This window comes from Homo sapiens, chromosome 3 (genome assembly GCF_000001405.40).
Source record: "Homo sapiens chromosome 3, GRCh38.p14 Primary Assembly".
Taxonomy (NCBI): domain Eukaryota; kingdom Metazoa; phylum Chordata; class Mammalia; order Primates; family Hominidae; genus Homo; species Homo sapiens.
In genome coordinates, this window is record NC_000003.12 from 71655779 (window position 1) to 71669368 (window position 13590).

The window sequence follows — 13590 nt, forward strand, 5'->3', positions numbered from 1 at the left end:
ACTTTTACATATATATATATATATATATATATATATATATTTTTTTTTTTTTTTTTTTTTTTTTTTTTTTTTTCTGAAGCAGTGGGAGTGGGGAGGCAACATTTCTTAAATAATTCCTTTGTGCTAGCTACCATACTAAATACCTTTTTTTTTTTTTTGAGACAGGGTCTAGATCTGCTGCCCAGGATGGAGTGCAGTAGCATGATCACAGCTCACTGCAGCCGCAGCCTCAACCTTCCAGGCTCAAGCGATCCTCCCAGCTCAGCCCCCCAAGCACCTGGGATAACAGGCACGCGCCAGCAAGCCCGACTAATTTTTGTATTTTTAGTAGAGACCGGGTTTCACCATATTGCCCAGGCTGGTCTCAAACTCCTTGGCCTCCCAAAGTGCTGGGATTACAGGTGTGAGCCACGGTACCCGGCCTAAATATTTTAACCTATGTTGCTTCATTTCAACCTCACAACAACCAAAAATCTTTTACATTTTACTGTGGAATAATCACCTGGTTATTATTATTATTATTATTATTATTATTATTATTATTATTATTATTATTTTTTAGACAGAGTCTTCCTCAGTTGCCCAGGCTGGAGTGCAGTGGCGCGATCTCCGCTCACTGCAAGCTCCGCCTCCCGAGTTCACGCCATTCTCCTGCCTCAGCCTCCTGAGTAGCTGGGACTACAGGCGCCCGCCACCACGCCCGGCTAATTTTTTTCTTGTATTTTTAGTAGAGACGGGGTTTCACTGTGTTAGCCAGGATGGTCTCCATCTCCTGACCTCATGATCCACCCACTTCGGCCTCCCAAAGTGCTGGGATTACAGGCGTGAGCCACCGCGCCCGGCCAATCACCTGGTTATTATTGGTTGAGAAAGGTTACCAGCTTGTCCAGGGTCACCCAGCCAACTAGAGCCCAAGCCCCAGCTACCCCTTAGATGCTGCTGGGTCCACTGTGATTCCGATTAAGAAATGCTGCCTTCCTTGTTACTCATTTATCTCAATACCAAGATGGAGGGAATGTTTTGAGAATGGCTGAGGCCATGAGCATTTTTCAGGGATGGTTACATTTTCGTAGCCAAAATACCATTTAAAGGAATCAGAAAAAAAGCTTTGCCTTCACATTTTTAAAAATTTCTTTTCTTTTTCTTTTTCTTTTTTGAGACAGAGTCTTGCTCTGTCACCCAGGCTGGAGTGCAGTGGTGTAATCTCAGCTCACTGTAGCCTCGACCTCCTGGGCTCAGGTGATCCACCCACCTCAGCCTCGTGGGTAGCTGGGACTACTCAGCTATAGGCGCACACCATCACACTTGGCTAATTTTTATATTTTTTATAGAGACAAGGTCTCACCATGTTGCCTAAGCTGTTCTTGAACTCCCGGGCTCAAGCCATCCTCCCACCTTGGCCTCCCAAAGTGCTGGGATTACAGGTATGAGCAACTGCACCCAGCCTTAAATTTCTTAAATAACTCTCTTCAGTCTCCTGGAAAGCATGGCCAAGGGTCAGATGCTTAGTTCCAAGCTGCTCTCCACAGGCTCTCCTGTTAACGGACTCATTTGGTCTACACGCTACCTAAAATGCTTAAAAGGAAAATTTAGAAATGAACTTAATATTTGGTGACATCCATACATGAGTTATAATGCTAATTCTAAAATAAGCTATTTATACTGATTTACTTTTCACTGATATCCATTTAAATATACATAATATCCCTAAACATACAGGAAATTAATAACTTTAATTAGCATGTATTCTCTACTTGGAAAAAATCTTCATTCATTTTGCCACTCTATTGAGCTTGCTTGGAATCAAAACAAACTTTCTCATTTTCCTGATTGCCTTTAATTCTCAGGAAACTCAGACTTTCCCAGCTAAAAGAAAACCCTGGTATTACAGGGTACCCCCCCACCACATACCCACACACAGAGGTGTTAACTGGGCCAGGCATAAAGATCTTGAAAACTGATACAATTCCAGGCTCTCTGCTCCATGTGGTTTGAATGTCAGTTGAAAGAAATCAATTTTCTAAAAATTACAATAAAGCATGCATTGAGTTATCAATGTTCACTTTCTATGGGGTCATTTTCAAGTTAATCACCTAAAATTTTTAAAGTCCCCGCTTTATGATGCTCAGAAAGCTGCAAAGGCGGAAACATATCTCTCCTCTTAGTTTCACATCCTCTTGTGTCCCCATTTTTTTCCCACTGTCATGCCATGGAGTGTCGTGGGATTGTGAGTGTGTTTGTGTGTTCTCTGCTTATTCTTTGTACTTCGATTGAACACCACCTTAGATCATCGTTGACAAGAGAGTAAAGGTTATCATTAGCATGTTGAATAATGGATGGGGTCCATTGTATTTTCTTGTTTAGGAAAATAAATCATCCTGAAAACTTGTATTATGTTCTATGTGAAATGGAAGCACATCAGCACTTGTTATGTTTTCCTCTCCTGAGTCGGTTTGGCAGGGCGCCTGAGGCTGGAAAGAACAGCCAGGGGTTGCCAAGCAAGGGCTGGCTTGATTCCGTGCCCGTTCCTCTAGGGGATGTAAACATCCTGCCCTGGAATACTTCACCAACCTGCAGCTAGAAAACTACTGTGTACAACCGGGCAACTGGGAGAATTGGAAACTGTGAGTCACAGCACCCACAAGGCCCTGCTGGGTAACGAGGAGGTCAGGTGTTGAAGCTTCCTCCGCCCCACCCCAGCCCCCAGAATGAGGATGGCACTCAATTCAGCAGAGAGACATACAGGAATCAAGTGTAGGGGAAGGGCAAAGGAGTCTAGGATTTCCTGAGGACCTACCATCCACATGCCAGATACTGTTGGGCACCTTCATGCACATTCACTCGTGTCAAATGGAGCAGGACTGCTCAGCGGTTAAGGCTACAGGTGTCTAGAGTGAGACACACCTGAGACCCACCACTCACTGATTGGGCCGTCTTGGGCAATTTGCTTAATCTCTCTAATTCTCAATATATGATCAGCCAAATGGAGATGGACCAGTTAAAATACTGAAATCCCTTCACATCACAAGGGTAGGAGCAGTTGCCCTGAGTCCTGAGAGCACACACACTCCCACTGCACTGGTGGAACAAGCTCGTTCCTGGAAACCCCCCAGTGATGCAGGAGAGTAAGGGAGACTCAAGCCCGAAAGAGCCTTGAAGGCCTGTCTAGAGGCAAGGGCTGGTTTGCTGTCATTGACTGTTACCCACATCACACCAGTCGCTAGCCAGCTTTACAGGGCTGTCATAGCCACAGAGGTGGGGTCTACAAAGACTATCATGTGACAGGCCTGAAATACATGATAATAATAGTTATGCCCATTATATAGACAGGGAAAGCTAGGCTAAACGAGGTTAAACAACAGGGCTAAAGCCATGTATGGAACCAAGATATGAATCAAGGCGAGTTGGACTCGCAAGCTTGCGCCTCTCAACCCTGATGTATGATTGGAGAATCATAAGTGCCCATTTAATGACAGCATAAAGGAGCTTCCCTCCTAGAAAGAGCCATGGCATCAAGTGGATTTCAGATGTCCATGCTCATCTAAATGTCGCTCTTGAGGATTCGTGTAAAAGGCAGGCATGGACCCAGTTGCTACATGTTTTAATTATGGCATCAGACTTATTACATGGAAACTGCTTTTCTCAAATCTGAATAGAACATACTGGTCTCAGCCATGGCATCAACTGTGACAGGGGCACAGATCGTCTTCTTGACAGGATGTGATTCTTATGTTTGGGCACTCTGAATGGGCCATGAGTTGAGCCTCTGTTGTTCTGTGTGAACTCTGAGGATAGGGGTGGAAGGAGAAAGCGTGTCAAGATCTAATTCCATATTGAGAATAACATTATTACTTTAAAACTTTTATCAGGGTAGAATACTGCCAGGATATATTAAAAACAATAAAGGTTCACCAATTAGAAATGTAATTCTCACACTGTGGTCACAACACAGTTCCTATACCCACAGTCTTCTGATTCCACATCCTGCTTCTCCATCAGGTATTAATATTTGAGTACGAGATAGTCACCTGGGGGCAGGAGGGTGCTTTCATGAGAACAGAACATAAGGCAGTTAAGTTTTGTTAAGAAAGCGGGGAAGAGGCAGGTACATTACTGGGAGGAGGCCAAAGTGTAGATTATTCTAGAAGTAATCTAGGACTTTGCTATTCAGCCTGTGGTTCACAGACCAACAGCATGGGTGTTGCCTGGGAGCCTGACAGATGTCAGAATCTGAGGCCCACTCCTGGCCTAAGGATCAGAGTCTGTATTTTAATCAAATGCCCAGGCAGTCAGTATGTATGCTCATTGCTGCTGGAGAAGCTCTGCTCTAGGGGGCCCAGCCTCTGCTCACACTCAGTGGGTAGGACTTGGTGGGGGTGGTGTGAGCAGAAAATGAAGCTGTAAGAGATGGGAAGGTACCCAAGTGTTTGCCTAAGAGGTTATCCTGTCTGAATCGGCTGGAGGGAAAAAAAATTCTGTTCTCCGATGATGAGCAGGCTGCGGCTGCAGTTGCACACAGCGTGATGACCATCTGTGTATAAAAAGTGAAGCTGAAAAAAAAAAGAAAGAAAGAAAGCCAAGAAAAGAAACACTGTGCAGGAGTGCAGAATTGCTACAGAGGCTAAGCATGGCCAGGTGTTTAAGCAGGAAAGCCAGTCTTGAAGATCAAAGGCAAGTCGATTGTAAAAGAGAACATCTTGCCCACCAAACCCGGGCCCTCTGAATGGAGAGAGAGCGACATCTGAATAGACCAGATGTTAGCAGCCGAGGGATCCTTAGAGCCTAGAATAAACTCACCTAAATAGCTCTGTGGCATCAAAACCTCATTATCTGCCAGGCCCACCGCTAAATACAAACACAGGTTCTATCAGCTGATGTGAAAGAAGTCCTTCCAGGCACCCAGCTGAGGCAGTAGGAATTTTCAGTCTCTGTTGTAAATGGGCAGTAATTAATTATAGGACAGACACCGAAGCCCAAAAAAATAAGTTCTGTTTTGCGGATGACAAGGAGATGTCGTTTTTGGAAAGAGCTGTGTGAGCACTTCGTGGTAACCAGTCTGGGGCCATCACAGGTGCTATCTCCTGCAGGCCTGACACGGGGCAGGCTGGTTATTTTTATGAAGGATGAGGGCCTGGGGCTCTGAAGCTTCCACCCCCTCATGCTTGCACTTCAGTTCCAGTACCCCAACACCATCCTTCCACCAGCAGCCCAGCAGAATCGTGGGGCACTGGCAGGGATGCGAGCGTTTCATCAACTTGTGAATTTTCCACAAGTACAAGCTGGTCTCCTCTTAATTGCCCCCACAGAGATTCTCATAAATACTTTTAAATATAATAATTGTTATTGTTATTTTACTTTGTTCTTCTAGATGGCATTTTTCCTTCAAGCAACTCAAAAGAATGATTCTGAAGTTATCCAATTAATCTTTGCAACATTCCTGTGAAGAAGAGGGTTGGGGGGCGGGGGCGGCAGTTTCTTTACGTTTCTGGAGGAGAGGGAAGGAACAGCAAGGTTAAAGGGACAGAGTGAAATAAAGATGACCCTGAAATAGAAACTGGGAAGCCTCGTGCTCCCAAAGGGTCCTCAATTTCCAAGTTTATTATCATCCAAAGTGTGCAACTGCTTAGGCCAGTACCCTATGTGAAAAGCACTAGTATTCAGATCTTGCTGTCACCTCTCAGGAAGTCATGACTTTGTGCAAGTCATTTAGCCTCCTTGGGCCTCCATTTCCCATGCGTCAAATAAAGAGGATATCTTAATGGAATGTGGCATAGAAAAGATCCAAGGCCTCTCCTTCAGGGTAGCAAACCCTCTGGAATCCAACCGCAATGGGCTCCTTGCAGTTTTATGCATGAGGCTGTTTTAGGCTTTGCAGTGGAAATGGCACACTTTGGCATGACATGGAGCAAGAGAGTCCAAGGACAGGCATGATAGACATCCTGATTCAGATCTTAGTTCCAGCACTTTTTAAGTCCTATCACTTTCAACAGGTCACTTAACCACTCTGAGCCTCTGTTTCCTCATTTGTCAAATGGTGGATGGTGAGATAATGCTTAACACGAGTCTGGCATTGAGTAGGTGCTCAATAAGTATACAGAAAGTGGTTAAGAGGAGGAGCCTGGGGTCAAAGTGTCCGTATTTGAATCCTGGCTCACCACTTTCCAGCTAAGTCACCTTGGACAAGTCACTTTGCCTCGCTAGATAAGAAAAGTTCCTAGAGGATTAAGCAAGCGAATACATGTAATTTGTAAAAGAGTCTGGCACAGGGTCCATGCTTGATAAATGTTATCATTAATCATATTATAATTATTGCTTAATTTCTTGTTTCCATTTTGTCTTAAGAAACCACAAACACTGGCCTCCACCTCCAAGGAAGGAGATTACTTCATACTGTAAGGGCAAGGTGGAGGGGAGAGTGTCTCAGTATAGAACCACTTTCCACCAATAAATTGAAAGAAGCGTCTCTTAGCTGGAAGTATTCCCTCTGGAATCACACAGGGCTGTGGTCTGCCACTCACCGACCAGCTAAGTGATGCTGGGCAAGTCTCTGCACCTTTCTCTCGGCCAACTCATCTGCAAACCAGAGGTAACCAGCTCACTGCCTTGATTTGTTAGAAAGATTACATGAGCTAATGCACACAAACACATTTTGTAAACTCTTAAATGCCTCATATATTGAAAGTGCTATAAATTCAGAAAGATACACTTATATGCGAAAAGCATGCAAAGCTCTGAATTTTCATTAGAACATGGGGAAAACTCAACATGTGTGCTTCTATGTTTCGTTCCCTTGAATTACAAAATGCAATGTTAAAAATCTCTTGTCTCAGGTAGAAGAAGAAAGAAGGCATTTTAATTTCCGGTGGTGCCAGCACATGGGGCTTGGGCTTCACCACCAGCTGCTGTAAAACCAAACCAAACAAACAATATATCCACCGACCCAAAGTAACTCAAAGTAACTGGATTTCTCTTTGCTGAGTTTCCTGTGAATACTTCAAAGCCTGGAGACTTTGCAGATGTCTTGGTGGTGATTTCCCTTTAGCAAACACATGGGAAATACTCCAATAAGAGAGAAGCCAGCTCCATGAAAGAAGACTTGGGGGCAGAAACCGAGGGAAGATGGTTTGCAAGCTGAGCATGATGAGTGCAGTAGCCTGATCTTCATTTCTCACATGCTTAGCACACATTTGCATCTGGGGCTAATTCTTCAGCTTACCTCCAGTGTTTACAGCAAGGAAGCGTTTCTTGGGTTCTAGCCCATGAATACTCAAAACTGAACTTGAATAGAAAGCATTATATTAAATACTTCACTATTGCCAAGCCCCTTGCAAGCCGCCATCCCCATCAGAAGAGAAGAACAGGTGGCCTCCTGCTCCTGCTTGGAGGTGCGGGAGGGGATTGGGACACTGGGCGAAGGATGGGTCTCCTCGCCTGTTGTGTTATTTTCAAATTTGTATTTCTTTTACATTTTTGATTCTCCTTCCAAAGCAAATTTCCCTAAACATGTAATCGGGGAAATTTTTTACCTTGAGCATCTCTAAAGCTGTAACACAGAAAGTAAATATTTGCTTTCAGGAAAGTTTGTTTGTGGATTAAAATCTGCTTCTTTGAATCAAGAATCAGCTTATCCTTTCAAAATAAGAATTTATTACAAAACTACAACACTGTCTACAAACCTACAGACAAAGATTGGTAACAGTCCATGCAGTCGGCAAAATGATTGCTCCCAGGCTCTAAGGCAGGGCCCTTGGGTTTTTTCCAGGGGTGAAGATGGTGCCCAGCATGCTCTCCCCAGGCATCAGCAGGATGCTTTACAAGGCAGTGGCCTAGATATTGGGGTGAGGACCCCCATCTGCAGGACAGAGTGAAGCTTCTTCATCCACTGGATCACCAAACTCTCAGGCCCAACCAGGCCTTTACCGGGAGACGTCCCGCCTGCCTGACTGTGGTTCGCCGCTCATGCCTGTTTTATGCAACAAAAGTCCTTTGAACACTTACTATGACCCAGCCATGGAGGCCACCTGAGTGAATATCATGGTGTCCGCCATCACCTAGTCTAGTGTGAGGGACAGGCAAACAGCGTGCCACCTGCTATACTTGAAGGGGTGCAGGGCTGCAAGCGACAAAGGAGGGGTATCCCCTGAGGTAGGGAGGGGCTTTCCTGAGGCAGATCAGGCAGGTAAGTGGGCAGGGAGAGGGAGGGAGAAGGAGAGTGCTACAGCAGACAGGGCAGCCTGGGAAGGTCCCTCCCCTGCAGGGAGGAGCGGCAGGAGGGGTAATGGGAGTGGATCCAGAAAAGGCTGCAGACTCAGCTCCTTGTGGGCTAATGGAGGATCAGGACTTTATCTACAGGGCAATGGGGAGCCACTGCATCACCAAGTCCCAGTCCACTGGCTTCTTGTTTTATGTTAATTACTCAACTTGATAGAGCCTGACTACATACAAAACTTAGGATACCACACAAAACCAGGGCAGAATCATCATCTTCATACTCCATTTAAAAAAATGGAGGCTTTGGATTTAGGCAGCATGCCTAAGGTCACCCAGCTATTGGAACTTGATGCTATAGTGGATTTTTTTGGGTTTTGTCACCCAGAATCAATGCCTCCATTTTTTTTTGGTGGGGGGTGGGGGGAGAATCATCTTCATGATTTCACCCCAGCTGTAGGAATGGGTCACTTAAGCCTGGCCTGGCACAGCACTTCCATCCTTTGGCCACAGTGATTGGCTCAGGAAAAGAGTCAGGTAGAACCAATGGTACACAACCTTGGGGCTTACTGGGACTGTTGAGAGAGAGAGAGAGGCCCATTCTGTCTCTTTTGGACTTAAAAACTCATGCCTGTAATCCCAGCACTTTGGGAGGCCAAGGCAGATCACTTGAGGTCAGGAGTCCGAGACCAGTCTGGCCAACATGATGAAATCCCATCTCTATTAAAAATACAAAAAAGTAGCTGGGTGTGGTGGTGTGTGCCTATAATCCCAGCTACTCGGGAGGCTGAGGCATGAGAACTGCTTGAGCCTGGGAGGCAGAGGTTGCAGTGAGCTGAGATCACACCACTGCACTCCAGCCTAGGCGACAGAGCAAGACTCCATTTCAAAACAAAACAAAACAAAACAAAAAAACTCGAAGACGTATGTCTACAGCTGGAGCATGAAGATGACACAAAAAAGAACTAAGAGGTTGTCTCCTGGATCAAGCTGTGCCTGAAGCCACTACTCCACAACTTTTAAATTACATCAGACATAATTTTATTTTTTCTTATAAGAATCTTAGCTGGTTTCTCTCACCTGCAATGAGGCAGCCCTGATGCATGGTGGCCCTGATGCAATGGTGCTCATGGTGACCCTCTTCTACTTTACCTATCATGTTATAGGCTACTGAAATTGATTTGGTATTTTGCTATATTCTTATTTAAAAAACTTATCCCAGTGAAAATTCAAATATGGAATAAATTGGGCTCTGAAAATACTTTAGTACGAGTTTCCAAGGATCAGCTGGTCTTGGTTTTCTCTTGATGACTCCAGCCAGTGAGCCAGATGGCAGCCCACAGTGATCCCATGAAAGCCACGCTGGTTAGTTTATAAATGTTAACACTGACAGGTTGCACATGGGTAGTGGCTTTAAAAGAATCTAATGGGCTGAGTGCTTTATTTAACTATTCTGCTAAAAATTAGCCAGAGAATTTCTACAACCAACTATTAAAGAGAGATACTTTTCCCCTATTTTGAATGTCTTGCAATGAAAACACCTTAAGAATCAGAGACATGAAAGTCTGTCACTGTAACATACTTTTAACTGGAGCTGCCTTCTGGACCAAGTGGTCCTAGTAGACATCTACAGAACTCTCCACCCCAAATCAATAGAATATACATTCTTCTCAGCACCACACAGCACTTATTCTAAAATTGACCACATAATTGGAAGTAAAACACCCCTCAGCAAATGTAAAGGAATGGAAATCATAACAGTCTCTCCGACCACAGTGCAATCAAATTAGATCTCAGGATTAAGAAACTCACTGAAAACCACACAACTACATGGAAACGGAACAACCTGCTCCTGAATGACTACTGGGTAAATAACAAAATGAAGGCAGAAATAAGTAAGTTCTTTGAAACCAATGAGAACAAAGACACAATGTACCAGAATCTCTGGGACTCAGCTAAAGCAGTTTTTAGAGGGAAATTTATAGCACTAAATGCCCACAGGAGAAAGTGGGAAAGACCTAAAATCGACACCCTAACATCACAAAAGAACTAGAGAAGCAAGAGCAAACAAATTCAGAAGCTAGCAGAAGACAAGAAATAACTAATATCAGACCTGAACTGAAGGAGACAGAGACATGAAAAACTCTTCAAAAAATCAATGAATCCAGGAGCTGGTTTTTTGAAAAGATTAACAAAACAGATAGACCACTAGCCAGACTAATAAAGAAGAAAAGAGAGAAGAATCAAATAGACATAAAAAAAATGGTAAAGGGTATATCACCACTGATCCCACAGAAATACAAACTACCGTCAGAGAATACTATAAACACCTCTATGCAAATAAACTAGAAAGTCTAGAAGAAATGGATAAACTCCTGGATACATACCCCTCCCAAGACTAAATCAGGAAGAAGTCGAATACCTGAACAGGCCAATAACAAGTTCTGATATTGAGGCAGTAATTAATAGCCTACCTCCCAAAAAAAGCCCAGGACCAGATGGATTCACAGCTGAATTCTACCAGAGTTACAAAGAGGAGCTGGTACCATTCCTTCTGAATCTATTCCAAACAATAGAAAAAAAGGGACTCCTCCCTAACTCATTTTATGAGGCCAGCATCATCCTGATACCAAAACTTGGCAGAGACACAACAAAAAAAGAGAATTTCAGCCCAGCACGGTGGCTCCTGCCTGTAATCCCAGCACTTTGGGAGGCTGAGGTGGGCGGATTGCCTGAGGTCAGGAGTTCAACACCAGCCTGGCTAACATGGTGAAACCCCGTCTCTACTAAAAATACAAAAAAATTAGCTGGGCATGGTGGCGCACACCTGTAGTCCAGGCTACCCAGAAGGCTGAGGCAGGAGAACAGCTTCAACTCGGGAGGTGGAGGTTGCAGTGAGCCGAGGTCACGCCACTGCACTCCAGCCTGCACAACAGAGCGAGACTTGGTCTCAAAAAAAAAGAAAAAAGAAAATTTCAGGCCAATATCCCTGACGAACATCAATGCGAAAATCCTCAATAAAATACTAGCAAACCGAATGCAGCAGCACATTAAAAAGCTTATCCACCACAATCAAGTTGGCTTCATCCCTGGGATGCAAGGCTGGTTCAACATACACAAATCAATAAATGTAATCCATCACATAAACAGAACCAATGACAAAAACCACATGATTATCTCAATAGATGTAGAAAAGGACTTCGATAAAATTCAACCCCTTCCTGCTAAAAACACTCAATAAACTAGGTATTGATGGAATATATCTCAAAATAACAAGAGCTATTTATGACAGACCCATAGCCAATATCATACTGAATGGGCAAAAGCTGGAAGCATTCCCATTGAAAACTGGCACAAGACAAGGATGCCCTCTGTCACCACTCCTATTCAACATAGTATTGGAAGCTCTGGCCAGGGCAATTAGGCAAGAGGAAGAAATAAAGGTATTTAAATAGGAAGAGAAGAAGTCAAATTATCTCTGTTTGCAGATGACATGATTGTATAGTTAGAAAACCCCCCATTGTCTCAGCCCCAAAACTCTGTAAGCTGATAAGCAACTTCAGCAAAGTCCCAGGATACAAAATCGATGTGCAAAAATCACAAGCATTCCTATACACCAATAATAGACAAATAGAGAGCCAAATCATGAGTGAACTCCCATTCACAATTGCTACAAGGAGAATAAAATACCTAGGAATCCAACTTACAAGGGATGTAAAGGACCTCTTCAAGAAGAACTACAAACCACTGCTCAAGGAAATAAGAGAGCACACAAACAAATGGAAAAATATTCCCTGCTCATGAATAGGAAGAATCAATATAGTGAAAATGGCCATACTGCCCAAAGTAATTTATAGATTCAATGCTATTCCCATCAAGCTACCACTGACTTTCTTCATAGAATTAGAAAAAACTACTTCAAATTTCATATGGAACCAAAAAAGAGCCTGTATAGTCAAGACAATCCTAAACAAAAAGAACAAAGCTGGAGGCATCATGCTACCTGGCTTCAAACTATACTACAAGTCTACAGTAACCAAAACAGCATGGTACTAGTACCAAATCAGATATATAGACCAATGGAACAGAACAGAGGCCTCAGAAATAACACCACACATCTATAGCTATCTGATCTTTGACAAACCTGACAAAAACAAGCAATGGGGAAATGATTCTCTATTTAATAAATAGTGTTGCGAAAACTGGCTAGCCATATGCAGAAAACTGAAACTGGACCCCTTCCTTACACCTTATACAAAAATTAACTCAAGATGGATTAAAGATGTAAACGTAAGACCTAAAACCATAAAAACCCTAGAAGAAAACCGAGGCAATACCATTAAGGACATAGGCATGGGCAAAGACTTCATGACTAAAACACCAAAAGCAATTGCAATAAAAGCCAAAATGGGATTTAATCAAACTAAAGAGCTTCTGCACAGCAAAAGAACCTATCATCAGAGTGAACAGGCAACCTACAGAATGGGAGAACATTTTAAAATCTGTCCATCTGACAAAGGGCTAATATCCAGAATCTACAAGGAACTTAAATAAATTTACAAGAAAAAAAAAACAACCCCATCAAAAAGTGGGCAAAGGATATGAACAGACACTTCTCAAAAGAACACCTTTATGCGGCCAACAAACATATGAAAAAAAGCTCATCATCATTGGTGATTAGAGAAATGCAAATCAAAACCACAATGAGACACCATCTCACGCCAGTTAGAATGGCGATCATTAAAAGGTCAGGAAACAACAGATGATGGAGAGGATGTGGAGAAATAGGAACGCTTTTACACTGTTGGTGGAAGTGTAAATTAGTTCAACCATTGTGGAATACAGTGTGGCAATTCCTCAAGGATCTAGAACTAGAAATACCATTTGACCCAGCAATCCCATTACTAGGTATATACCCAAAGGATTATAAATCATTCTACTATAAAGACACATGCACACATATGTTTATTGCAGCACTGTTCACAATAGCAAAAACTTGGTACCAACCCAAATGCCCATCAGTGATAGACTGGATAAAGAAAATGTGGCACATATGCACCATGGAATACTATGCAGCCATAAAAAAAGCATGAGTTCATGTCCTTTGCAGGGACATGGATGAAGCTGGAAACCATCATTCTCAGCAAACTAACACAGGAACAGAAAACCAAACACCACATGTTCTCACTTATAAGTGGGAGTTGAACAGTGAGAACATATGGGCAGGGCACAGGGAGGGGACTATCACACACCGGGGCCTGTTGGGGGGTGGGGGGCAAGGGGAAGGGATAGCATTAGGAGAAATACCTAAGGTAGATGACGGGTTGATGGGTGTAGCAAACCACCATGGCACATGTATACCTATGTAACAAACCTGCATGT

The 13590-nt window shown here is 43.4% G+C and overlaps 1 protein-coding gene across 2 annotated transcripts in view; it reads right to left on the minus strand.

Annotated features, from left to right (window-relative positions):
* Nucleotides 1–3584: 3584 nt before the first annotated feature.
* Nucleotides 3585–13590, minus strand: part of EIF4E3 (eukaryotic translation initiation factor 4E family member 3) — a 95411-nt gene continuing 85405 nt past the window's right edge. For both annotated transcript variants that reach the window (XM_047448061.1, XM_047448060.1), the window contains one exon: nt 3585–3785. In XM_047448061.1, coding sequence (XP_047304017.1) covers nt 3643–3785 — 143 coding nt within the window. In that variant the 3' untranslated portion in view covers nt 3585–3642. The remainder of the gene's footprint in view (nt 3786–13590) is intronic.